Source organism: Homo sapiens, chromosome 2 (assembly GCF_000001405.40).
Source record: "Homo sapiens chromosome 2, GRCh38.p14 Primary Assembly".
NCBI lineage: Eukaryota > Metazoa > Chordata > Mammalia > Primates > Hominidae > Homo > Homo sapiens.
This window is the reverse complement of record NC_000002.12, coordinates 240,448,149-240,473,320: the sequence shown is the minus strand read 5'-3', so window position 1 is coordinate 240,473,320 and position 25,172 is coordinate 240,448,149. Positions and strand designations below refer to the sequence as shown.

Sequence of the window (25,172 nt, the reverse complement as noted above, 5' to 3'; positions counted from 1 at the left end):
TTCTATTAAACTTTACATTTTATGCATTTGTTTTTCTTATTTTTTTGGTTGTCTCAGTTATCTCGCATGTTATTGAGTTTTTTTAAGATGATTGTTTTGAATTGTCAGGCAATTTATAGATCTTTATTTCTTTGGGATCACTTACTGGAGCTTTACTAGTTTCTTTTGGTGGTTTTTTTTGTTTTTTTTTTTTTTTTAGACAGAGTTTCACTCTTGTCGCCCAGGCTGGAGTACAGTGGCACAATCTCAGCTCACTGCAGCCTCCGTCTCCCGGGTTCAAGAGATTCTCCCACCTCAGCCTCCTGAGTAGTGGGATTACAAGCATGCACCACCATGTCTGGTTAATTTTTATATTTTTAGTAGAGACGAGGTTTCACCGTGTTGGCCAGGCTGGTCTCGAACTCCTGACCTCAAGCAACCTACCTGCCTCAGCCTCCCAAAGTGCTGGGATGACAGGCATGAGCCACCATGCCCAGCTGTGGCATCATGTTGGCCTGATTCTTTATTATTCATAGAGCCTTGCATTGGTGTCTCAATTTGAAGCAGCAAACACCTCTTTCAGCCTTTACAGACTGATTTTTGGCAGATAAAGATCTGTTGGGTCTCTGAAGGGTTGCCTCCAGGATTAGTTTAGTCACATGGCTGCTGCTGAGTCTACAGTGGGGTTTGTGGTTGGTGAGTCTATTCAGGGAAGGAGCAGGCATTGAACATGTCTGGTCCCTGGGCAGACTGGACTGCCTCTAAGACCTTGAGGAACAGGGCTAGCTCTGGGACAAGGGTGCACTCAGTCACTGCGTGAGTCCCTGACAGGCAGGACTGACCCCAGACTGTGGTTAAAAGGAGATGAAACCAAGTCACAAGGCTGGTTTAAGGCTCACAGCTGAGACTGAGGTCTGTAGGCCTGCCTTTGGGGGCACAGATGGGCATGCCTCCTGTCAGGTTCTTGGGGAGGGCAGGACTGCCTTCAGACCATGGCAGAGTGGGGCTGGAGCTGGGTCACAGGGCTCCTTCAGCCTGTGCAGTTGTAGATTGGTAGGCCTGCCTCCCCGCGTGCGGCCGTAGATTGGTAGGCCTGCCTCCCCGCGTGCGGCCGTGGATTGGTAGGCCTGCCTCCCAGCGTACAGCTGGGCTTGTCTCAGTATCCCTGGGTGGGCAGGACCGCTCCAGGACTGTGACTGGGGAAGGATGGAGTAAACTCAGAACCATTTCAACACTTCTTTTGGGATTTTGTGGCCTAACTCAGACGAGTGTCTCCCAGCACGTCCTTGGGAAGGCAGGACTGCTTTCAGACTGCAGCTGAGGGGTTGGAGCTGACTTACAGGGCTATTTCGGGATCTGCAGTGGAACCAAGGTTGGTGGGCCTGCCTTCAGGGGGGATGGACTGGGGTATCTTCCAGGAGATCCCTGGGCAGATGGTTCCTGTGTCAGGAGAGCCAAACAAGGCTGCCATTGAGTCCATAGGGGGATGAGGCCATTTCTGGATCTGCAAAGGACCCCATTTGGCGAGCTGCAACCTGGGTGCAAACCTGCCCTCTTAAAACAGCCCTTCTCAGTTGGGCTCCATCAGGATTTCCCAGCCTCCTACCAGAGTCCTGAGGCTCCCACGAAGGCACTTTTGTGTGTGGATGGCTGCCAAATTCTTGTTGCAATGGGTGGCTAAAAGCAGGGGGTCCCCTGTTCTGCCATCTTGCTGACATTACTTCCACTTGGTACTTTTTCCAATCTCCTTGTTTTTTCTTTTTAAAAATGGAATTGTTCTATCCTTATGGTTTCTATTTCTCCCCCTTTTCGCTTTGATAACACAAAATACTTATTTTATAGACCATTTCAGTTTGCTCTGTCATCTAAAGTTCTCAGGGTGCTGCTGGCTCTGGTGGCAGATTTTATTTTATTTTTTCATTTTGAAATTTTAAAGAATCTTGTAATCTCAGCTACTTGGGAGGCTGAGGCAGGAGAATCGCTTGAACCCGGGAGGCAGAGGTCGCAGTGAGCTGAGATCACACCACTGCACTCCAGCCTGGTGACAGACAGATACTCTGTCTCAAAAAAAAAAAAAAAAAGAATTTGAGTTCCTGTCCCTGAGGCGTTGTGATTTCTCTGAGGGAATCTCACTTCCTCACTGTGGACAAACCCTCTAGGTACTTTTGTATTTACTCATTATCTTTTGTCACCAGCCACTGATTCTTCAAAAAGGAGGATTTTTTTTTTCCTGCCCAGATCCCTAGGCAGCAAAAGCTTCCCTGGCCCATCTCTGGCAATAGGGAGAACTTCGTTTCTTTGCGGTTTCCAGGTCACCTGGGGTTCCAGTTCCAGCTCCCAGCCCTCACCCAGGTCTGTGGGTACCCCTCACCCCAAGCTTCTATCCTGAGAGGGTATTTCTGTGCCTGATACACCACTCTCCCCACTTCCCATTCATTGAAGCCTCTCACTTTGTTTTTCTTTTCAGCACATGAGGTTTTTAGCTCTCCTGTGACCTCAGATAGGTATTAACTTTGCGAAACTGACTTTTTCCAGAATTTCAACGTGTCTGTGAGGAGAGGGGGTTATTTTAGCTGAGTCTACTGTGTTGCTGTGATCTTTTCAAAGTCAACATTTCCCAGTGTTTCCTCCTGTTTCTTTTAATTCTCACATCAGGACGCTTGGTCTGACTTCCCAGGCCGATGCTGCATATTTTGACGTCTCCTATGAGTTTTTTACTGGCTCTTTTTTTGTGCTTTCCCAGATTGAGTGTAAACATGGGTTTGTGCTAGAAACCATGAGGGTTCCTGTTCATATTTCCAGGCCATATGAAAGAAGGAGGGAAATGTTTAGACTCACTGGTTTTGCTTTGTGGGGTGGTCTCATCTGGGAGGGGCTGCTGTGCACACGGGGAGAGCTTGCTGGGCAGTGACTGCCTCCGGCTCATCCACAGCCCTGGCGTCTGTGAAGCCTGTGTGCTTTCCCCTCAGGAAAGCTGTGGTGGCCTTGTTGGGGTCTCTCAGAATCCCACCTTCCCTAGACTCTACCCACTTCTTTGATGGCTGTGACACATGCTGTCTGTTGGAGAGATGGACGCCCAGTTATGGTCCTTCCATGATTTCAGTAGTGGCTTAGGGCAGGAGGAAGGTGGACTGAGAGGTGGGAGTTAGTCGTCTGTCCCAAACTCAAGGGAGCACTGCGATTATAAATGGTGTTTCTCGACAGAGGGCCTTGTCCCCAGATAAAGAATACTTAGGGTCACCTGGACAGGAGCAGTGTGTGCACCCACGGGTGTGTCTGTCTCTGTGTGAGTGCATGCGTGTATACTGTGCATGTATGTAATGTGTGCATGTGTGTATGGGCATGTGTACCTGTCTACATGTGTGCACGTGCATAGGCCTGTGCACATGTGCATGCATGTGTATGGGCATGTGTACATGTGAGTGCATGCATGTGCAGGAGGATGTGTGTGCACGTGTATGGATATGTGTGCTTGTGTGTGTATGCACAGGGCATTGTACGTGTTCATACCTATGTGTGTGCATGTGTGTACATGTGTAGGAGTGTGCACATGTGCATGGGCATGTGGGCATGTGAGGACGTGCATGTGCAGAAGTGTGTGCACGTGTATGGATATGTGTGCTTGTGTGTGCATGTACAGGGTGTTGTATGTGTTCGTTTGTGTGTGTAAATGTGGAGTGCACATGTGCATGTGTGTGCACCGTGTGATGGGTGTATGTTCGTGTGGAGCAGACACCCATGCTGGCCTGCCGGGGCTGCCTGCAGATGGTGTGGGAGACGCTGGGGCCACCCACCACGGCTGGGCTGAGCTGCTCAAGGGAGGCTGACTGAGGGGCTGCTCTCTGCCCATCAGTGTGGGTGGGTCAGTTTGTCTGTGGCTTCTGGAATTCCTGTGAGGAACCGAGAGGGACTGAGAGCCAGCCCTGGCTGGAAGGGGTCTCTCCCTGAGCAGCCTCTTGGGGCAGCACTAGGGTGGGCAGAACTTGGGAGCTCCCTGGTGGTCTGAGGTGTGGCCGGGAAGGCAGGGCTGAGACCAGCCGGGTGCCCCTGCCCACCCACTCCTGGCGTGGTGTCGGCTCTGCACAGAGTGCACACGCACCTGTGTCCTCCTTTCCCTGACATGAAAGATGCATTTGCCCAGGTTCAAAAAGGGCTTGTGGAAGTCTTGAAGCAGCTGGGCAAGGTGGTGCCTGGAAGCCTGAGATCCTGCCGGCTGGACCAAATGCGTTGTCCACAACTACAGCCGCTGATGAGTGTCTGGCTGCTCACCTGTCCCCTAGGGGCCCCGCTGAGCCCCCAGGCTGCATCCCCTGGCCCGCCACGGAGAGGACTCCACCCCACCCTCATTTCCCAGGGGAGGAGCCGGGCCTCTGGGACTTGCGGAGGGGCCTGCAAGTGAGGACCGTGGCTACCAGGGACCTGGCGGCTGCAGATGCTTTGTGGGAGGCCTGTGTGCAGCCCTTCGTCCTGCCCGGAGCTGGGACCTACTAAGCAGTGGAGTTCAGCAGGGCTGGGTGGAGCTGCATCTCCCTCCTGGGGTGCCCACCCACCCCTCTGTGCTCTCACGCTCACAAGGGGCCTGGAGGTCCCAGTTGCTAGGGGGCCCTCTATTCCTGGGTCCCAGATGATGGAAACGCAATGTTAAAAATGTTCACCAGACCAACCTGTACTGGCTGCAATTCTCAATAAAGCAGTTGAGGGACACACCCAGAACAGTGGGCGCTTCTGCCAGTGCCGCCGTGCCACTTAGCCTCTGGCCATGACCCCACAGGAACAGGAGCGGGGCTATAGGGAGCCCCTAGGGTTATACAGGACCCTCCGCCTCGAGAGAAAGGTGGCTGGGGACAAACTGGACCACCAGGGCATCCTTGGGACAATGCTGGTTCCTTCTCTCTAGCCCCTTGGGCATCTCTGAGGCCACCTGGCAGGAACCAGAACCTTCCAGGGGTAGAGGATCTCTGTGCTGTGTGTGCCCAGAGCAGGGGCAGGAGGCAGGAAGAGGTAGATGGGAGGTGGGGCCTGCTGGAGGCCATCTGGGTCTCCGTGCCCTGGCCTTTTCCTTCTCCCCTGCACCAAGGAGAGGGGCGGACAGACCGGAGTCTGTCCAGGGCAAGGTGGAGCTGCAGACAGGCTGAAGGGCGCAGCTGGCAGGGGCTGCACGTTCACCCCAAACACGGAAGTGTGGTCCATGCCCAAGCCCCAGACAGACAGACACACACACACATACGCACACATTCTCTCTCCCCCCGAGGCCTCGCCCTGCTGTAGGTTTCCAGCCTTTTATTCATACAAGGACTCAAAAGAACACACGTCACCCGCTGACACTGAGCGGTGGGGGGACCTTGTGGAGGAAGGACACAGCAGGCTTGGCCACTGCCCTGACCAGTGACCACTCAGGGCTGCCCCTTCCAGAGATGAGCGTAGGGTGGGGTCTGAGCGCCACCCCTAGGCCGTCTGTGTGCAGCGGGAGTGCTGCTGTCCTGGCGCCCGGCATCACTGTGCCAGAGTCCCCAGCCCACCCTGGCACTGGCAGGGTTATTATGGGGTGGACTTGCCTGTGTTGGGGGCTCCTGATCCCAAAACATCTAAAGTCAGGTTCCAGAGAACAAGCCATGGGGACCTGACCAGCAACCGGGGACCTCCGTCCACTGTGCGGGACGGTGATGAAAAGCAAAGCAGCACTAAGCGGCCTCCTCAGGGTCAGTCGGTTCAGGACAGCTGCCCCCAGACCCTCCAAGTCCTCCTCCCCCTGCAGGACCCCTTCCCAACACCACACCACCCCTCCCCAGGGCCGCCTGGCAGCTGGGGCACAGGAGGGAAGGAGGGCCCGTCCAGGCCTGGGGCAGGGCCCTGATGGCCTCAGTGAGTGACAGGAGGTCACCAGGGTCCAAGGTGGGCCCTGCGGCCCTCCGAAGCCATCTGGGAGGAGCGAACAGCTCTCCATGAACAAGGACAGGAAGTGTCAGTAAATGGATGCATGTTTGGAAAAGCCCTTAACTATCCAGGTCCCCGTGCCCTGCAGCTGGCTGGGTCGGGAAGGGACCTAGGCATTCCCGTCTGCAGTGCGGGGTCTCACCAGCCACCAGCATCCCTGTGAGCAGGTGACAGCTGAGGGTCACTCTGAGCCCTGACCTGTGTCACCGTGAACAGGGAGGCCCTGGTTCCTGATCTGGGTGAGGATGGGAGCAGGCGGGTCCTGGCTGCTCCTCAGCCCTCGGGGTCCTCCAACAGCCCTGGACCCCAGCAAGGCCTGCCCTGTGAGCCCTGTGTGCGAGGGGCAGCCCACATTGGCAGAGCCCACGCTGCCTCCCTGGGCCTTTGGGCCCAGCTTCCCCTCCTCCAGCAGAAGCGCAGGTGGGTCAGTGGCCCCTCATCTGCGCATGGAGGGCCCCTCACTGCAGGTCTGTGGGAGGACAGTCCTCAGACTCCTCAGCAGTGGTGCTGTCTCAGGCGTCACCCTGCAGACGCTGGGGCCCCTCAAGGGCGCAGGGAGGTGGGGCCGGGCTCTGCAGCCTGCGCTGAGGGGAGGGCATCATGCATCATCTCAGAGGCTCTGCCAGACCCTGGATGGCGGACACCCAGACAGCCCGTGCGGGGCTTCTCTGGAGGCTGGGGGGTGGGCCAGGGCTGGCTGGTGGGCTCTGCTGGGAGTCCCAGTGGGAGGAGGCGGGGAGGAAGGCACAGGCTCGCTGTGGGCTCCAGCGGGTTGCTTTGAGGCCTCCTCTGTAGGCCTCGAGGGGCTGCTTCTGCGGCGGTGCAGGGAGCTGGGGGGAGGGCTAGGCAGCCGGAGGTGCCCCTGAGGTCCCTGAAATACATGGCTTTTGGGCACACTGGCTCCCAGCTGACCTGAGGACCTCATACAAAATTAAAAGGCAGAAAGGCAGGCGAGGCCAGGCCTGGGGCTGGGACCTCTGCGCCTGCCCCTGCTCAGAGCCGCCGGCCCTCCCTGTCCCACCCCAGGCCTCTCCAGGCTGAGGTGAATTAAATATCGTCTGTGTTGTATTTTTGGCAAAGTCAGTCCTTGGCCTCTGTCCCTGGGGCCTTGGGGCAGTTACCGCCACCGGGGCCTGGCTACTGTAAGGGCCAGGAAGAGGAGGAGGGGCAGGAGGAAGGTCGGGGGCTGGGGGCAGCTGGCAGCCGAGGTCTTCTGTCCTTCCTGCTCTGACAGGCCTGGGAGGGCATGGGTCAAGGGCGTCCGGGAGCTGGAGCTCTTCCTGCTGACCTTCCGGCTGCAGAGGTCATCCAGACAGCCATCACCGCTGCCCGAGCCGCTGCCGTCGTCACCTGGGAAGGAGAGGAGGCTCCGGCAGGCAGGTCCCCACAGGAGACCCCAGTGCAGCACCACCCTGTAAGGGCCCGTGCCAGGTGACCCCAACATCCTTTCGGTGTGGAATCCCAGGACCAGCAGCACCTGATCCCCGCTGACCCCTGAGGCTGGGAGACTCTCACTCCCTGGGGCTGCCTCCCTTGGTCCCTGGAGCCAAAGCCAACAGACATCCCGGCCAGGCCTCCAGGGCGCCGCAGAGGTGCAGGGCTCGGTGATCGTGCCTGGGCAGCACAGCGTCCTCAGACTCACTGTGGTGATGCCGGAGCAGAGGGCCCCTCGGGTGGGGGAACCCGGAGGGCAGTCACACCCCTGTGGCACCCCCACCAACCCTGGCCCCTTGGCCGCCCGGCCAGGCCCTGCCCTCACTGGCGTCCTGGAAGTCCACGTCGTTGCCGTTGTAGGCGCTGCGCAGCCGGTTGGTCATGATCTTCAGCTGCATGATCTGCTGCCGGATGGTCATGTCCGGCTTGGTGATGTCCACCTCCACCTCGGGGTTGTTGATCTGGTTGGCCAGGCCGTCACCCATGACCTCGGGGAGGTACCTGGGGGAAAGGCAGGCAGAGCCCAGGTCACTGCTCCAGCCCCTGCAAAGGGCCATCACCTGAGCAGGACACTCTCCCACGCTCTGAGCCTGAGATGCCCAGCAGCTTCCAGGGACCGAGCAGAGCCCACACAGGCCGCAGAGAAGTGGGGCTCAAGCCCTCCAGCAAGGGACGTGGCCCCGTGCAGACAGCACCTGGCCCAGGCACAGCCCAATGGAGGCGGCATGGGAGGGAGGGCTGTGCCAGCCAGGTGGGCACCTACCGGCCTCTGGCCATCCCGTTCCAGCAGCGGTCATCACTGGCAGTGCTCAGGGCCATCTTCTCACTGCACAGTGTCCCTGGGAGGCTGATCCAGAAGTCCTGGACGTCGCGGAGCTGGGCCTTGGCTTCGGAGACCTGTGGGGCAGCAGTCAGGCCACTGGGCTGCCAGGGCCCGCCCGCCTCTGCCTGTCTGCCTCCCTCATGCCTGGTCCAGTGGACACGCAGGGGCCACTCACCAGCTTCTCCAGCGTGCCTGAAGGTGGCCTCTCCCGCGGGGCCAGCTTGCCCCGGCGCCGCTTCTCCTCAGGCCCGGGGCCCTGGGGGTTGACCTTGGGGTTCCCGCAGCCCTGGATGACCTGGAGAGACACTGCAGGGTCCTTGGGGGGTAGTGGGGCCCCTCAAGCCCAATGGGGCCACATCCAGGACCCCCACCCCGCTGTGCTCGTCACGTCCTCCTGCCCGCACCTTGGCCGTGAGCGTGTCCCTGTTGTCCTGGAGGGCGTTGATGGCCTCCGCCAGCCACGTGTGCACGCTGCCGATGACACTCTCCACACCCGATGTACCCCAGAACTTGTCGGTGATGAGCACCATGGAGTCTAGGACAGGCGTTAACACGCGGACACACAGGCGTTAACGCGCGCACACAGGCGTTGACACGCACACGCAGGCGTCACCACGTGTGCATGTTAATGCAGTCTTGACAGCACGGGTCAGCATGGGAGATCCCACGTGTGCACTCAGGTTGGCCCGTGTGACATGTGCAGGCCACGTGCACTCAGCTTGGCCCACACCCACGTGTGCACCTGTGCCACGGGCACAGGTGAACACGCACATACACAGAGGCCATTCTGCATGCTTGCTGGCCTGCCGTGTCTCGTATGTCCACGCTGGCTCATGCAGGTGTTGACATGTACATACGCTGGCTCACCTTGGTCCAGCTTGTGTGCACATGAGCCCGTGTGAGCTGGTGTGTATGCATGCTGGCTTACCTCATGCCCCCCCCATGTACACCTTAGTTCATGTGTGTGTTGCGTGCACGGTGAGCACATGTACAAGTAAAGCTCATGCATTTTGTCAGCTCCCATCACGTTAGCACACACCTGTTGGCCCCGTGTCAGCACATGCTAGCACGTGTTGGCACAGATGCATGCTGTCCCCCCTCATGTAAGCATGTGTACATGTTAGTGGATCTGGATAAGCATGTACATATTACCACACACGTGTTGGCATTGATGCGGGTCAGCCCAGCTCATGTCATCACATGCGCCCAGGAGCACACGCTGTACTGGTGGGCACTGGCCCACTGTGTGTCAGCAAGTGAGCACGCCAGTTCGCATGTGTCAGCCTGTCATGTGACGGTGCATGTATGTGTTAGCTTAAACAAGTGCCGGTCCTCGATGAGTCACACGTGTTGGCATGTATGCACACCGAGGTGCTTGCTAAGTGGGGAAGGACAAGAAACTATGACCCCACAGGGCTCCCTCCCTGGCAGCTGCCCCAAGTCACACATCACTCAGGACATTCAAAAGGCACCCTGGCCCCTCAACCCTGCAGCACCACCCAGATCTGGCCCGGGTCAGGGCATCCCTGATCAGGTCCCTGGGTCCAAGCTCTAAGCTAGGGACCACCCGCCCCCCAGGACCCCCAGTCGTGCACTCCCCAAGACAGTTCCAGGCCGCTCTCGCGGGTGGGGGCTCACCCAGGAGGTTCCTCCACTCGGCGTCCAGGTCGGCCTGGTTGGCAAGGCAGCCCTTGAGCACATTTCGGCAATAGTCAGGGCAGGGCCTGGCGCCGGGGACTCCCAGGCAGTGAGCACAGTAGACCAGCTTCATGACAGCTCTCGAGCACTCCGGGCCCAGGGGGACCTGGGGAGCAAGGGACCCTAAGCCAGGCCCCGAGGCCCTGGGGGTGCCTGGCCCCGGCCAGCCCCTAACGAAGCCCCAGGGTAGGGGGCTCTGGAGGGAAGTCAGGGGAGGCCTCTGCTCTGCCCCAGCTCGTGGTGGTCGCTGCCTGACTCGCAGGGCCTGCCAGCCCAGACGGCCCTCATTTTAATGATCTCGAGGGTCACAGGGAGGCAAGAATATCCTCACCCGCATGCCGCTGAGGAAACCAAGGCATGACTTGCCCAGGAGCCTGGAGGTGGGGGCAGTTCCCACCCAGGGCATGTGGGTCTGAGGCTGACGCCCTCCCTATGTCCCAGCTTAGCTGGGTCTGACACGTGCCCCGCAAGGGACCAAGGCATCCCCCTGGCCTGCGAGGCTCTGGGGCCCCACCCTGCCCGGCCCCCACGCATGTTGTTCTCTTCTGTCTCCTCTGCACTTTCACTCCACAGCCTGGCTCAGCGTCCAGCCCCAGCCCCTGGCCCTTCCCATCCTGGCCCATGATGGTTCTGGGCAGGGATGGGCCAGCCCAGAGCCGCCTGCCCAGAGCAAGGCTCACATCTGTGGGTACGCTGTTAGCAGGCCATGGGCAGCAGCCAATGCAGGAGGGACTGAGGCTGTGGGGCTGAGGTCAGAGGCTGGCCCAGAGGCCCAGGGGCACAGGGTTAAAGTAGGGGGAAGAGGAAGTCCCTTGGGCAGAGCATGGGGGTCTGGAGGGGTTTCTGAGAGCCCTGGGTGGCTGTGCGCACCTGAGCCACTTTCCGGACCACGTCGCTGGCCACGCCCAGGCCCTGCACAAAGGAGCGAGCAGCCACGAAGGCACGGGTGGCCCGCAGGCGCAGCTCTCTCGGGGCCTCCCCGAAGGGCCGCAGCGCCTCGGCCTGCTTGCCCAGGCAGTCCAGGTAGTCATCAGGCAGCAGCAGCTGGGGGTGCAGCTGCTTGAAGAGGCGCTCGAGCAGGCGGGCCCAGAACTCGGCCAGCGTCTCCTCCAGGTGCAGGTTGGCACCGCGGTAGTACAGGCGCAGCTCTGAGTACAGGTCCCGGAAGGCCCTCGCGTTCTGCGTGTACAGCTCTCCGAAGGCGCCGGGGAAGGTGGCCTGCAGCGTCCGCTCCGAGTCGTTCAGCAGGTGCTGGAAGTGGTCTGCGCACAGGGAGGGGGCGTGATCGGGACCATGTTTCCCCCGCCGTGGCAGCTGGACCAGAGCAGGGGACTCAGCCCGGGAGACTCAGCTCTGAGGATACACTCTGAGGACCTCGGAGTCGGACGCCACACTGCAGCGGCTGTGGGCCCTGTGGGCATCCATGGGGCGCCCCGAGACCTCACCCCCTGGCCTGGGGAGCAGGGGCCCAGGTGGCAGGGGGTCCTCTCGGGTCTCAGGGCCTCTGACTGGGGCTCCAGTGGCAGTTTCTGAGCTGAGCCCTGGGCAGAACAGATGCTCTGTGACTCAGTGACCCCCTGAGAACACCCAGGGAGGGGCTGCTGGTGGAGATGGGGACTCACTGGGGTAAGAGGGGCAGGGCCGGTCTGTGCCCCCCTGCCAGCCGCTCCTTCTCTCCACTGGTCCCCACTTGTGCTCCCCGTGGCCCCAGCCGCCTGCCCTGCGAGTCTCCAGGGCTGCTGCCCCTCCCGCCACCCTGTCTCGGCTGCTCTCCTAGGCTTCTTGTCTTCTCTCAGCTTCTGCGATTTAGAAGCTTCAGCTGTGAGCACCCCGGGCCTGTCTGAGGGCTCTGGGGGGCCTCCTGCAGCCTAGAACCCCAGACATCTCCCCTGCTGGGCAGGGGGTGTGGAGGCACAGGCTCACCCTCAGACCTCCACATGTGCTGCAGGGGCTTTAGGGAAAAGCCCCCGTACCCCGGGCCTAGATGGGACCCTGGACTTCCCCATCCCATTTGGAAGTGGGACTTCCAGGTCTGTAACTGCTCAGAGCGTCCCTAGGGCTGTGGCCGGCTTTGCCCCACAGGTACCGGGGGCTCGATGGCCCACCACAAGGTGCTCCAGGGTAGCAGGGCAGAGGCTCTCCTTTGAGGCACGGGGGCCGTCAAGCCTGAGATCTCTGGATCAGCCCCCACGCTGACCCCTGGCAAGGCCTGGGGCTTCAGGGCTGGCAGGGCTACAGAGAGCTCCCAGGCCGCTGTGGGGAGGGTGGACGGGCCACACAGCTGTCCAGTGTCCACCTTGGGTCCTGGCGCCTGGAACGCCCTGGCCTGTCCCGGAAAGGGGCGGCTTGTGGTTCATGCATTAGCCCAGACACACCTAGAGGGCCATGGGCCAAATCCAGGTGCAGTCCCCAGCTCTACCTCCTGCCAGAACCCATTCAGCTGCTCCTGAAGGCTGGTGGGGGGGCGGACACAGGGCTCCAAATCCCTGAACACAGCAACCAGAGGTCCAGCCAGGCTCCCCTCCTACCGCCTCCCACTGGTTCCCACCAGCACTGCAGACAAAGACCCAGGGGCCCTCAGCTGCCCCGGAGGCTGGGAGGGGACAGCAGCTGCCATGGGCAGGGGTGGGAGGGGAGGACATAGGAGGTGGGGGTTGGACAAGACTCCCTGGGGTAGGGGCACAGGTGGGCCTTGGGCACATCACATAGTGGGTCATTTTTAATACAAATGTCCCCAAAGGGTGTCTGTGTTTTCAGGTCAAAGATAGGAGAGTTGAACAGGAAGGCTGGAGGCTTCCAGAGGGCAGCAGAGGGAGGGCGGCGGCAGGGCACTGACACGGGACAGGCCCCAGAGCAGGGCAGCGACACCAACCCCCTAAGAGCCAGGAGGAAGCAGGCGGGCAGGATGTCCCCAGGCCAGGAGGATGGTGTGATGGGCAAGGGTATTAGCAGGAGAGGGGAAGGGGCAGGGCTGGGTGGCACGCTGGGGCGGGAGCCAGGGCTCAGCGGCGCTGGGGAGAAACTGAGGCCCAGGATAGAGTGGAGGAGGTGAGCCGGGTCCCTACACATGGGACAGAACCAAGTGGCTCAGGAAGGCTCCTGACTCAGGGTGCAGGGGCTCGCTCCCCGGGTCCAGCTGGGCAGGAGGAAGGAGAGTCCCAGAGGGGCCACGCGCATCCCACGGGCCCCACACCAGCGGGGAGGGCTGAGCTCTGAGCATCGATGTCCAAGTCACAGAGAGGGAGCTTCTGACCCACTGCTACCCAGGTGTACGCCAACAGCTGAGGTCCCACAGCCCTGTGGAAATGGCCTTGGGGGCTCCTGGGGACAGGCAGACTCTCCCGGGAGCCTGGGAGGCCACAGCAGGTGTCCAGGAGCCGGAGAAGCAGGAACGCTGAGACAAACCCCAGGGCCCCAGCAGCAGCTGCCGTCCCTCACAGCCACAATGGAGCCCTGCAGCCTCAGCGCTCCCTCCCTCCTGTCTGCCCAGGCTCACTGTCCCGGCGCCCTGGCTCCGCCCGGACACAGGGGCAGTACCTCAGCCCGGGCCGCCTCCCTCCACCAAGTCCTCGTGTTTCTGATCAGAGGTCACTTCATGGAGGACCTCCTGACCCCACACTGTCCCCCTGGGGGTGGCTGCCACTCTCTGCCCAGACACAAGGCGAGGCCCAGCCTGGGCCGAGGAGTACGTGGCTCTAATGCAGCAGCTGGCGGGGCCTCAAGGCCTGCAGGGGTCACTCCCCGCGGCCCCCAGACTCCTGCCCCGATATAAAGGGCTGAGTGGCGGCCACCCCAGGCAGGCCCTGCACTCTGCAGCCCTGTCCCCAGCCCCAGTCTCAGCCCTTGCACTGAGCTCCCTGGCTCCAGGCCACCTGGTCCCCAGGGGCAGTGGCCTGGGGCACTTGACGAGCTGCAGGCAGGATTTGGCCAAGGCCTGTCTCCCTGCAGGTGCTCAGGAGAATCTGCTGGTGACAGGAGCCTCTGAGGGGCTGATGGGATAGGCCCTCTGTCCCCAAATGTGCACTGGGAATGGGCTGTGCACACTCCCAGGGGGGTGTCAAACCCTGCAGATCCCTGCCTGAGGGCAGCCCCCAAATCCCAGCTGGGGCTTCAACCCAGCGCCCTAGCCCCAAAGCACTAACTCCCCCACCTCCTCCTGCCAATCCCCCACCCTTGGCATTGACACACCAGGCAAGGCCCAGTGTGCCCCTCCCCCGATGCACCGGCACCCTGCGGGCCCCGAGCGCCCGTGGGAGGCACTCACCATCGAAGCTGCGCAGCTGGGTGGCAAGCATGGCCTGCAGGACGCGGCTGCTGTCCCGGAGCGCGGTCTCCAGCTCGGCATGGCTGCGGTTGGCCAGGTTCTCCTCCATCTCGCTGGTGCAGCAGGTGTAGCCCTGGGGACAGATCCGCAGGTGCTCACCTGTGGGGAAAGGCCAGTGTGAGGGAGAGGGGCTGGGACAGCACTGGGAGCCAGGAGGGCACCCTCAGGCTCTCCTGGGCAGGATGGCAGACCCAGGGTGGAGCACAGCTCAGGGGTGGGCCAGCCTGGGGGGTGCCCTGGGTGAAGGCAGAAGTGGTCGGGGTGTGGAGGGAGGAAAAGGCCTGGCTTCGGTCCCGTAGCTTCCCACACGTGACACAAGAGCACGGCTGCCTCTACAGGGCAGGAGGCCCCTTGGGCAAGTCCTGCCCCCCAGCCTGCTGTCCCAGCAGCTGCAAGCAAAGAACTGGCCTCAGGTTCCTGTGTGCAAGTGTGGAGAAGGCTCCCAGGCCCGAAAGGCACCCCTTGCCTGGGCCCATGTCTGAGGATGGGGAAGGAGGAAGGAATCCAATCCCCCTCTCTTCCCACACCAGCCCTGGGGGGCACCAAGCTCCCACTGCAAGGACGGCAGATCCCACCAACAGTGGGCTGGTCAGAGGCAGTGGCCCTGCAGGACCCCAGGCACGAGTCTGGTATGGGGGCAGGTGTGCTCTGGTGCAGCTGGCAGGCCCCATGAAAGGGTCATTGGACCATGCCCCAAGCCCTGCAGGGTGCACCCTGTGCCTCCTGGTGTCCTTGTGGAGTCCCCTCCTCTGCAGCCTGCCATGAGCTACTCTGCTCCAGCGTCCGAGGCAGTGACAGCGGCACTGCCATCAGAGACAGCTTCACCTCCTTGTGGGGAGTGGGGACAGGACAGGCTTTGAGTCAGCTCTCAGCCCTGCTGTGCACACCTCAGGGCCCACCTGGAATGGGTGTGTGGCATCAGGAAAAACTGCATTTTTTAAAGGGTGTGCATCGCACTGTGATGAAGGCTGCCGCAATCCTCATTTTATTAACCAGAAAACCGGGGCTTACAGGGATGAGGTCTCGTCCCAGCTATACAGTGAGGGGGCAAGTGGTTCCGGCTGCCTAAGCTCAGGACTCCACACTGACGGGGCCACACTGTTCCTTCTGGGCCTCGTCCCCCGCCTCTAAGGCCCTCCTGGTGCTGGCCTAGGTCAGGCACAGTGGAGAGGTGGAAGCAGGAGCCTGGCTTGGTCAGAGGGGTGGGGTCAAGGGGGGGCGTTGTCAGCAGGAATTCCAGCAACTTTCCTCAGGACTGCCGCCTCAGGGGCCTGTCTCATCCTGTTCTGGGACCCTGGGCCAGGGTGGCTGGAATGCAGCAGGTCCTGCATTCTTTTACGCCCTCCTGAGGGTCAGCAGGAAGTGAAGGCCAGGCCAGGGAGGAGAGGCAGGAGAGGGAGCCAGGACCGGGACCGAGGGCGGGGTCAGCCCGGGCAGAGGCACCTGGCTCGAGGCTGTCCTGGGGGAGCTGGCAGCAGCTCCAGCCCTGCCTGGAGGTGGGAGCAGGGATCTGTAGCCCCACTGCAGGCAGGGCCTGGAGCAGCGCAGGCAGTGCCCTACCCGCTTACTGCAAGAGAAGTCACCCCTCAGGCCTGGGGTCCAGGAAGCCCTTACCCACTAGAGGCCATCTGGGGTGGGGACCCAGGACTAGGTAACTACCCAGAGGTTGAATGCCTGGGTCAGACTGAGTTTGCTGATCTTCCGCACCCTCTAAGTACACACACTCAGGGAGGAGCCCGAGACAAGAGAAGGGAACAGAGAACCCGAATCCGGGCTTGGGCGGCTGCCGCTTGGCCCCTGTAGCCTCTGTGCCTGCTGACATGACAGCAAGGAGACAGGTTGTCAGAGGGGCCTGGGAGAGCGAGGGAGGGCCGAGGTAGGGGTTCTTATCCTGGAGCGCTCCCTCCTTGCCCTCTTTTCCTGTCTGAGTTCTGGAATGTACTGATGCAGGGGGCTCTGGCTTGAGCTAGAGGGGGAGGGAGTCCTCCGCAGGGGCTGCAGGTCCAGGGATTCCCCAGGGCCTGGACTTACATGTGCCCATGCTGCAGACAGAGCGGGAATGGCAAGTGCACCTGCGCCCCCCGCCCCTCCTTACCTCCAGATGCCTGCTGGAGGGGGAGTTGGGGGTCCAACAGAGTCTGGGGCCAGGAGGGCCTTGTGGGAGCCAGCTGGGGTGAGGACAGAGCCCGGCTCTGAGAGCCCTGGGGCCTAGTAGAGAAGGGGTGCTCCTTCCCCACTCCTCACATGGGTGGGAAGGCGCCCTCAGGCAAGAAGACTGGGACACAGGTACACTCGCCAGGGACCATCCTTCACTCTGCAGCCTTTATTCACTGATGGGATTCTGCCCCAGTCCCACCCCCGTGGGGGCAGGATTTAGAGCAGGAACCGCCCCTCCGGGTCCTTTCCTGGGGCCTGTGCCAGGCTGAGCAGACTCAGGAGGCGTCTCTCCGAGGGTGTGGGCTGTGATGGGGCCCTGTGCACCCATCCAGGCTGCCCAGACCAGGAGAGCACAGGTCAGCCGGACACATGATGGTAATGGGCTGGGCAGTGGGAGGGAAACGTGCCTGGGGGAGGGGGTGGCAGGTGCCAGCTGAGCTTCCCGGTGACACACCCTGGGCTCAGCTGAGATGGGCTCAGCTGTGACGGGGCACCCAGGCCAGGCTGGCTGGGCCACAGGAACCGAGTGAGCTGGTCCAAGACTCAGGACTAGGGCTCAAGCACTCCTAGGGAGGAGGGTGGGTGGCGTCCCCCGCCGGCTCCTCCTGTGCCCCTCCCTCGCGAGGTCCCGGCGGACCCACTCCCCAGCCCCCACCACGCAGACGGGAGAGGCTGACGAGAGGCATGGAGAGGTGAGGCCCGAAACACCCGTAAGATATGGGAGCTCCCCCCACCTGCAGGTTCTGAGGGGCTCCTCGGCGCCGTCAGCCACCTCTCACACCCCCTCACGGCCGCGCACCGGCCCCCGCGCCTCAGCCTCCCCCGCCGACCCCTCAGCCCCGCCCGGCCAACTCGCCCAGCCGGCCCGGCGACCTGCGTTGTTCCAGCTGCCCCAGCACAGCCCCCGTCCCTCCCTCCCTCCTCGGACAAGCACGGGAGTGAAGACACGGAGCCAGAGCTCGGGCGCCGGCCTGGGAGCCCCCGGCAGGCTGGACGCAAGGCGGGCGAAGGCCTGGGAGCCTCGGGCAGGCTGGATCGAGGCGGCCCCCTGAGGCCCGCTGCAGGCTGGACGCACGGCAGTCAAAGGCAGGAGGCCTCCCGCTGGCTTCCTTCTGCGGAGCTCCGGCCCGGCGCAGGCCGGGGCCACAGGTTGTGGTCCTGGACATGAGATGGCAGAGGCCGGCTCTGCAGAGTCCCCCTGCAGGGCGGCAAAGCAAGCCCCCTCCTGGAAGAATGCCAGGGGCTGGGGCCTTTCTGAATGGAGAGCAATGTGCCCAAGACCAGCTGTCATCTTAAATCTCCCCACCCAGGGGCCTCCCCACCCCCAGGGGCCTCCCCACCACTTCTCTCAGCTCAACACCTGGGGATAGAGAGGCCTCAGGCCAGGAGGGAACCCTCCCCATGTCCCTCTCCCTCTCCTTCCTGGCCTTTCTCCTCCTCCAACCCAGAGGGAGGCATTTTCCAACCTAGGGGGTGAGTCCCGGCAGCCCATCCCCTTCCCCCCGTGCAGGGAGGCATCTGGGCCCTTCCGGCCCACCCCTCCCTCTGGCCCTGGGGCTGCTCAGGTCAAGGTCACCGGGCCTGCTCCCCGCTGGGCCAGGGACTGGACCCTCTCTTCCCTGATCCCTGGGCTGAAGTTGCTGTAGCCGACCCATCCTTCCACAGCGCTCCCCTCCCTCAGTCACTGGGACACTTCCCTTCCCCAGTGCTCTGAGGATTTTTTTGGGGGGGAAGGGGATTATTTGTTTAATGGCAGATTCATCCCCCACCTCAAACCCAGAGTCTCCAGTTCCCAGGCTCCTGCTCCTCAGGTTAAAGCACAGAGCTCTTGCTCCCTGGCTCGTAGGCAGCTGCTGTCTCGTTCCATCTTCCCCCTCCCGATCCTGACGGTTCTGGACCACCCCACTCTGCTGCTCCTCACTAAGCCCCCACCAGCCTTAACTTTGGATACCTTTTAGGTCATGCATTCTCGTCCCCTGCTGACATGTCCCCACCCCGCAGTTTCCTCTTGGTCATCAGCACCTTCACCCCAAAGCTTTAGGCGAGACTCCCATCCTGACAGTGGCCCCCATCCCCAATGATGGACCCAGACCTCATTTGTCCAGACCCAGCCTGGCAGCTGCCCGTGACCAGTGGCTCTGGAGCCCTCCCAAGGAGAATGCAGAGAGATGATGGCGCCACGCCACGCCCATCCCTCCAGAAGCTTCCACGGCTCACACAGGAGGTGCAGACTGTAAAGCCGGCTTTATCCACCTTTACAGCCTCGTCCTAGACACTCAGTGTCAACAGACTCGAATGCCTAAGGTACCGGAATTTGGCGTGGACAGTCAGCCTGCATTGCCTCCCACGGTGCTGGAGTAGGGCTGTGTGCAGAGCTCCAGGCACCGCAGCCCCCCAACACGCAAGGGAAGAGCCTAGGCCTCCCCGCTCCTGCCCTCTACTCAGCTCTGCACCCGGCAACGGGGCCTTCCTGGCTGGCCGATGGCTGCGAAGGCTTTCCCCAAGCCCGAACCCTCTTCTCGAAGCCTGCCCCAGCCCCTGGCCCATCTGCTCTCGGACCCCAACCAGCTCCGGTGGCTGTGGCATCCTCCGGCACGTCCAGCAGCCTCCTGGGGTGAGGGTGCACTGGACAAACGACCCAGGGGGTTTCCTGGGGACCACCCACTGCCCAGGCTGCAGAGGATCTTTTCCTCACTTTTGCCCCATCCTCTAAGAAGCCTGCGCCCCTGGCCAGTCCCTGTCCGCCTGGGCTCCTGACGTCTGAGCCAGAGGCAGCCTTGGCCCCACCTGCGAGGTGGACCGGCCACGGCATCTCAGCTCCTCGTCAACGGCATCCACGGCCCCCAGACTCACCCCATCGTGCTTCCCTCCCCTCCCCACACCCCTGCCGTCTGCCCGAAGCCCCCCCGCCACCATTTCACCCAAATGACAGCGTCGCCAAGGAGCCCCTCCGCCGCCGCAGAACCTCCGCCGCGCACTGCGACCCGAAACCGAGGGGCGTCGTAGGGACACCTCTGCCCCGGGTGGGAGGGTCCGCGCCCCAGGCCGGCTAAGGCTCCTGTCACCCGCGGCTGCTTGCGAGGGCGACAGGCGTGAAACCGGCCCCGGCGGCGGAACAAAGGCTCGGCGGCACCGGCGGCAGCGTCGCCGCCCTGGGGGTCCCGGGCGCCCCGATGCCAGTCGCCAGCCGCCGCGGCCAGGGACGAAGACGGCAAACCGCGCAGCCGGAGCGGGTGCGCAGGGGTCTGGACACGCAGCAGCGCCGGCGGCCCGGCGAGGAGGGGGCACTGGTGCAGTGGGCGCGGCGGGGAGGGAAGGGGGCGGGCGGGGAGAGGGGGCTGCGGCGGGCAGGCGAGGGGAGGGGGGCGCCGCGATTGGCGGGGAAGGGGCTTGTCGCAGCGGGTGCGGCAGGCACGGGGGTGGGGGAGGGGGCTCGAAGGGCTGCGACGGCCCGGGGAGGGGGATGGGCCTGGCGGAAGAGGAAGGGGGGCCCCGGGGCGGCGGCAGGCGATGCGGGAGCGGGGCGGGCGGAGGGAGCGGGGCGGGCGGAGGGAGCGGGGCGGGCGGAGGGAGCGGGGCGGGCGGAGGGAGCGGGGCGGGCGGAGGGAGCGGGGCGGGCGGTGGGAGCGGGGCGGGCGGTGGGAGCGGGGCGGGCGGTGGGAGCGGGGCGGGGACGCCGGGATGCGGCCCGGGAGGGGTAGGGGTAGGTGCAGCTGGGGCGACGGGTGGGGTGGGACTGGGGACGGGCCACGGACTCCCGACAGGAGGGGCGGAAAGGGGATGGGGCTGCGGCGGCCAAGCGGGGCAGGACGGAGCGGAGGATGGGACAGAGGCGGTGGGGACGAGGAGCGGGTGGAGATGGGGGTGGCGCGCCTGCGGATGCGGGTACGGTGGCGCTGCGGGAGAGGTCCTCGGGCCTGGCTTCCAGCGCGGCGGCGGACGCGGGACCCCCTTCGCAGCGGCGGCTCCAGCGGCTCCGGGCGGCGCGCGGGCTCTGGGTGCAGGTGCTCGGGCCGGGGAAAGGCGGCGGAGCGGGGCCGGGCGGAAGGGCTCGCAGGAGGCGAAAAGCCAGCGGGGGACGAGGGCGGGCTGCGGTCCGCCGGGCGCGCGGGAGACTCTGGCCGCAGCCACCCCGGGCAGCGCCGCAGCCGCACTGGCGCGCACGGCCGAGGGCGGTGGCTCCCGGCGCGGGGACGAGCGTCCTCCCGCAGCCCCCGCCCCGCCGCGCTCGGCACCGCCCCCGTCTCCCTGGAAACCGCAGGCGGCCGCCCCGGCCCCTCCGGCCAGGTCCCCGCCGCCCTGCGCCCGCCTTCCTGCCCGCCGCCGAGGCCGGGCCCCTCCCTCCCGCCTGCGGGTGCTGCTCCTGTTCTCCGCGGGCAGTCCGGGCCTCCTAGGCTCCCCACTGCAGCTAAGCGGGCCCAGGCCTTGGTGCAGGGGCTCCTGGGTCTCAGCAGGGCCGGCGCTCGGGGGAGCCGGGGCCCCTCCCCGGAGGGTAATGGGGGCGGGGTGTCGGGTTTCTCTCTGTGCTGAAGGTGGCAGCTGACCACCGCTGTCCTCACGCAAAGCTGCCATGGTCATTCCACATCCTCTACCTGCCCCCTCCAGCCCCCAGTCCAATGGCACCCGGGCCTTGACTCCAGACCCCCCTGCCCCTATATCCTGACCTGCTTTCCCTCTGACATACCAAACCCAACAGGCCACATCCTTCCACCAAGTCTCCCACCCAGGTGCCCCCAGCCTGGGAGGTCTATGCTGTGCGCCTCTGGCCCCTCCTTGGACACCAGAGGGACAGCCTCCCGCCAACACCCTCCCCTCCCTGCAGCCCAGGTCCTGCGTGGCTCCCACTGTCCCGGCCCAGCTCCCCACCTTCCCCAGGCCTGCTGACCCAGCCAGACAAAACCACCCACTCACACCAGTTCCCCTCTGGCCGCACTCCGGCCTCTCGGCCGGTCTGCAATGGGCACACTGAGAGCTGCTGGACAGACCACCAAGGCAGGCCACAACACCGGAGACCCCCAAAGACGGGGCTTTCACCAGGCAACTCATAAGACTGCTCTCTAAGCTGCCCAGATCCTGCTTGGGGAACCCCTGAGCAGGCCATCCTGCCGGCAGACGCCAGGTCTGGGCGGTGCCGGCCCTGGCATGGCACGACGGCAGGGGTCCATCAGATGGGAGCCTAGTCACAGCTCGGGCCAAGAAGCCGCGTGCCCTGTGCAGGCCTCCCCCCATGCCAGCCTGCTCCACTGTCTGAGGCTCATGCTGTGGCCTCAGACTGGGGATGAAAGGGGATTCAGAATTTGTGTCACGAACCTCCTGCCACACCCAGGACCCGGTGTCTTGGCTGTAAGGCAGAGCCCACTCTTCGAACCCAGGATGAGGTGCTCCCCAGAGGCCGTGCCCCCAGGCCTGGCTCAGCCTTTCTCCTCCTTGGCTTGGTGGAGCTGAAGAGGGCACTCACATCTCTATGCCCAACCCTGCCAGCAGGGTGGAAATTCAGGCAGGCTGTGGGAGGGTGGGGTTGTCCTCCTGGGGCTCTGCCCAGCTCTCCCATCTAGCTTCCCGTACACCCACTGCAGGGGCCACAGGCACCCAAGGAGGCCTGGAAGATGGACTGGCCCTCCCTGTCTGCTACACCCACAGGGGGCACGCTAGAAACGCAGAAGGGGACGCAGCAGCCACATTCCAGTCCACAAAGACGCCGCGCAGGCCCGTCCATCTGCCCCGTGAATGCCAACCAGGCAGAGACACACATACAGCTGAGGCTGGGCCGGATCCCAGAGCAAACCCTTGGGTGCCTCTGGAGGGAGCCCGCCAAGAGGGATGGCTCATAAACACTGGGGAAGGAACAGAAGGGGAGGGAGCAAAGGAACTCGGCCGCTCACCTCCGACCCAACCACTTCCCGAGAAGCCATCTCTGTGGTCATGGTGGTCCCAGGCCTGGCTCTCCCTGCGCCCACCCCCACCACCCAGTCACTCCACCCAGTCACCCCACCCAGCTGTGACCTGCCACTTCCCTCCATCTCACATGCTTTCCCCTCACCTCCCTCAGGAAGCCTCCCCAGCCTCTGGCCTCCAGTCCCAACAAGCCATGCTCCTTCCAGAGGGAACCTCTGCCAGGGGAGCCTCCACTTTCTTGCTCCTGCCTCCCTACCTGGCACCCAGGCCGGCCCTGGTACCCTGGTACTGAATAAAGGCACACGTCTAAATGATGTCGGGGGGAATCTGCCCAGTGTTGGCACTGGAGCGAACACGACCCACTGCCAGCATGGCCCACGAGCCACACCCCCCCAAGCCAGCACCTCCTCCCCAGAGGAAGCACGGGGCTCGACGGGGCACGCCCCTGAATGGGAGGTCACACATGGTGAGGGCTCCCTTGTTCCCAGAGGTCTAGCTGTCTCCCTGCTAAGATGCAGAGCTCACTATGGGCCTCGCAGGGGGTTAAGCCGAGTCATTTCATCTTCACAGCAGCTGTAGGTCCCGCTGACATAGCTGACACATAGAGAGCTAAAGTGACCTGTGCAAGGTCACAGGCTAGGAGTAGCAGCACGGGGCCCAGCACGAGGAACAGCCTTAGCATCCCCCGCCTCCCCAACCCTGCAGCCTGCCCTGACTCCAATCCCAGGGGAATTCCTGAGCTGCAGGCAAAGGCTGAAGCAGGAGCTGACAAGCCCTGCTGAGCCCAGAGAGGTCTGGGCGGTCCCAGGAGGGCGTCTCCCTAGGGCTTTGATGAGTTGGTGGCCGCCCAGGCACCTCTGCCTGCCTGCCCAGCATGGCAGGTGTGTGGGCTGGAGCTTCTGCCCAGCCCTGCCCCACAGCCACAATTAGGGGACGAGTGCAGATAAAGCACGGGGGCCAGTTACATCTGAATTTCAGATAAACAATGAATTGTTATTTTAGTACAGTATGAAAGTATTTGGCCCCAAAGAACTGGAAGCAGGAAAAGGAACAGCTCCTCATACACCCATGCTCACAGCATTATTCACCAGAGCCGGAAGGTAGAAACGATGTCTCTCCACAGTCGAATAGATTGTTTCCACAAACTGTCTGTAGGTGCATACAATGGAATAGGATTAATCCGTGAAAAGGAAGAAATTCTGACACATGCTCCGGCGTGGAGGAACCTTGAGGACGACGCTGAGTGAAAGAAGCCAGACACGAAAGGACAGATACGGCAAGACTCGACTTATGTGAGGTCCCTAGAGGAGTCGGATTCATAGAGACTGAAAGGATGGCGGGCACCAGGGGCGGTGGAGAGGGGAAATGGGGAGTTACTGTTTAATGGGGACAGAGTTTCAGTTTTACAAGATGAAAAGGGTCCTGGAGCTGGATGGGGGTGACGGCCGCACAACAGCATGAATGGACTGAACGCCACTGAAAACTGAACTCTTGAAAATGGTTAAACTGGCAAATTTTGTTATGCATATTTTGCCACAAAAAGCAAACAACTCTTCTCCCCAAAAATATCTGGGGTGTACTTACACTAAATATGTAGGGCATATTTACTCTCAACATTTATTTCCTTATTTGAAATGAAAGTATTTGGGACACACTGCACTACAAAATGATTCAGGGTCTACCTGAAATTCCCATGTACCTCGTGTCCTGTCTTTGCATCCGCTAAGTCCGGCGGCCCTTTGCAGCGTGGGGGTGGGGGGGGGCGCCTGCCGGAATCACACAGGTCTCCCCACCCGCAGCAGCCCACCACCTTTGGGCACCCATGCATGCTTGCGCACCCACGTATCCCTGGCTCCCCCACTCAGGTCTCAGACCCCGTCCAGGCTGTCAGCAGGAGGTTTAAGGCCGCTTTCAACTCTGAACTGTCCCCAGCCTCCTTGGAGAGCAGTGGGTCTCTCCTGAAATCAGCACTATCTCAATTAACAGGCAGACAGGACCACCCCCAGCTTACAGATGGGAAGACTGAGGCTCACGGAGGTTAGGTGGCTTCCCCCCCAGGTCTCAGACTTCTCCCTAAGGCAGATCTCCTTCCACTGGCCTGAGTGTCCCCCTGTCCTCACTGAAGGGGAGGAAATGAGAAGCCCAGGCTTGATACCTGGGCACCCCGAGCCCAGGTATGGAGATTAGGCCACTCTTGCAAAACTAGGGTCAGGCCTGGCCACCCTCGCTGGCCTGACTATCCCATTGCTGGCCAGGTGCTGCTGAAACCTAGTTGGGCCTCAGGCAGCTGGGCTGGTGTCTGCAAGGCCACGTCCGGGGAGGGATAACTGCCGGTCACGCTGCTGGTCACACAGCCCACCACCGAGAACGCCCAGGGCTCCCAGCCCAGGGAGACTCTGAGCAGGTGGTCCTGTCATGTGCCTGCCTGATCGCCTCCCCAAAGGTGAGCTCCGACCTCGACCTCCTGTGGGCCCTGCGGGTCCTGGAGCAGGTGGGAATGGGGGCCCCCTGCCTCCGTGACTCCCACCCATTTCCCGAAGCCACCTGCCGGAGGAGAGCCGGAGGCTCAGAGTTCCACCCCCAGGCACCTGGAGTCCTGACTCCACCCCGTCTACACCCAGACTTCCTGGCAGGGACTATCTACACCCGGACTGCCTGGCAGGGACTGTCTACACCTGGACTGCCTGGCAGGGACTATCTACACCCGGACTGCCTGGCAGACAGAGGGATGCCAGGATCCCATGAGATGGCTCTGGGCAGAGGTTGGGGACACTGCCTGGGGCGGGCACATGAGATCCAGGAGGCAGACAGCCTGGGGGAACGAACCAGCCCCATCCCGTAGGGGAAGGGAGAGGCCCCTATGAGGGCAGCTGTCCAGACCCGGGGCCAGCATCTCCTGCCCTTCCTGCCTCTCCACAGGGCCTGCGG

At 62.5% G+C, this 25,172-nt stretch overlaps 2 protein-coding genes, 1 long non-coding RNA gene and 1 other non-coding gene across 6 annotated transcripts in view, besides 5 other annotated features; 2 read left to right on the top strand and 2 right to left on the bottom strand.

Moving 5' to 3' along the window:
- Positions 1 to 4,689, top strand: part of ANKMY1 (ankyrin repeat and MYND domain containing 1) — a 92,433-nt gene extending 87,744 nt beyond the window's left edge. For both annotated transcript variants that reach the window (NM_001393464.1, NM_001393465.1), the window contains exon 13: positions 4,121 to 4,689. In NM_001393464.1, coding sequence (NP_001380393.1) covers positions 4,121 to 4,470 — 350 coding nt within the window. In that variant the 3' untranslated portion in view covers positions 4,471 to 4,689. The remainder of the gene's footprint in view (positions 1 to 4,120) is intronic.
- Positions 4,690 to 5,244: 555 nt separating this feature from the next.
- Positions 5,245 to 25,172, bottom strand: part of GPC1 (glypican 1) — a 32,414-nt gene continuing 12,486 nt past the window's right edge. Inside the window, exons 1-9 of one of the 2 annotated variants that reach the window (XM_047443961.1) lie at positions 17,084 to 18,489; positions 14,133 to 14,291; positions 10,739 to 11,130; positions 9,809 to 9,974; positions 8,575 to 8,705; positions 8,346 to 8,465; positions 8,111 to 8,244; positions 7,673 to 7,848; positions 5,245 to 7,263 (exon numbers count right to left, since the gene is read on the bottom strand). In XM_047443961.1, coding sequence (XP_047299917.1) covers positions 7,031 to 7,263; positions 7,673 to 7,848; positions 8,111 to 8,244; positions 8,346 to 8,465; positions 8,575 to 8,705; positions 9,809 to 9,974; positions 10,739 to 11,130; positions 14,133 to 14,241 — 1,461 coding nt within the window. In that variant the 5' untranslated portion in view covers positions 14,242 to 14,291; positions 17,084 to 18,489 and the 3' untranslated portion in view covers positions 5,245 to 7,030. Of the gene's footprint in view, positions 7,264 to 7,672; positions 7,849 to 8,110; positions 8,245 to 8,345; positions 8,466 to 8,574; positions 8,706 to 9,808; positions 9,975 to 10,738; positions 11,131 to 14,132; positions 14,292 to 17,083; positions 18,490 to 25,172 lie in introns of those variants that run through there. The other variant, NM_002081.3, reaches the window with a different exon arrangement.
- Positions 13,465 to 14,115: an enhancer, noted in NCBI's record as "H3K27ac-H3K4me1 hESC enhancer chr2:241398623-241399273 (GRCh37/hg19 assembly coordinates)". NCBI's record gives its function as "activates a minimal SCP1, AML or CMV promoter by ChIP-STARR-seq in naive and primed H9 embryonic stem cells {active_cell/tissue: H9 hESC(naive and primed)}" and the evidence as "EXISTENCE:reporter gene assay evidence [ECO:0000049][PMID:30033119]".
- Positions 14,116 to 14,765: an enhancer, noted in NCBI's record as "H3K27ac-H3K4me1 hESC enhancer chr2:241397973-241398622 (GRCh37/hg19 assembly coordinates)". NCBI's record gives its function as "activates a minimal SCP1, AML or CMV promoter by ChIP-STARR-seq in primed H9 embryonic stem cells {active_cell/tissue: H9 hESC(primed)}" and the evidence as "EXISTENCE:reporter gene assay evidence [ECO:0000049][PMID:30033119]".
- Positions 14,766 to 15,417: an enhancer, noted in NCBI's record as "H3K27ac-H3K4me1 hESC enhancer chr2:241397321-241397972 (GRCh37/hg19 assembly coordinates)". NCBI's record gives its function as "activates a minimal SCP1, AML or CMV promoter by ChIP-STARR-seq in naive H9 embryonic stem cells {active_cell/tissue: H9 hESC(naive)}" and the evidence as "EXISTENCE:reporter gene assay evidence [ECO:0000049][PMID:30033119]".
- GPC1-AS1 (GPC1 antisense RNA 1) lies at positions 16,621 to 23,942 on the top strand. The gene is made up of 3 exons (NR_161169.1): positions 16,621 to 16,724; positions 22,399 to 22,710; positions 23,400 to 23,942. It is a non-coding gene; the product is annotated as a GPC1 antisense RNA 1 (long non-coding RNA).
- Positions 17,232 to 17,320, bottom strand: MIR149 (microRNA 149). The gene has a single exon (NR_029702.1). It is a non-coding gene; the product is annotated as a microRNA 149 (primary transcript).
- Positions 17,370 to 18,020: an enhancer, noted in NCBI's record as "H3K27ac-H3K4me1 hESC enhancer chr2:241394718-241395368 (GRCh37/hg19 assembly coordinates)". NCBI's record gives its function as "activates a minimal SCP1, AML or CMV promoter by ChIP-STARR-seq in naive H9 embryonic stem cells {active_cell/tissue: H9 hESC(naive)}" and the evidence as "EXISTENCE:reporter gene assay evidence [ECO:0000049][PMID:30033119]".
- Positions 20,516 to 20,565: a silencer, noted in NCBI's record as "silent region_12511". NCBI's record gives its function as "represses an Ori minimal core promoter by ATAC-STARR-seq in GM12878 lymphoblastoid cells {active_cell/tissue: GM12878}" and the evidence as "EXISTENCE:reporter gene assay evidence [ECO:0000049][PMID:35858748]".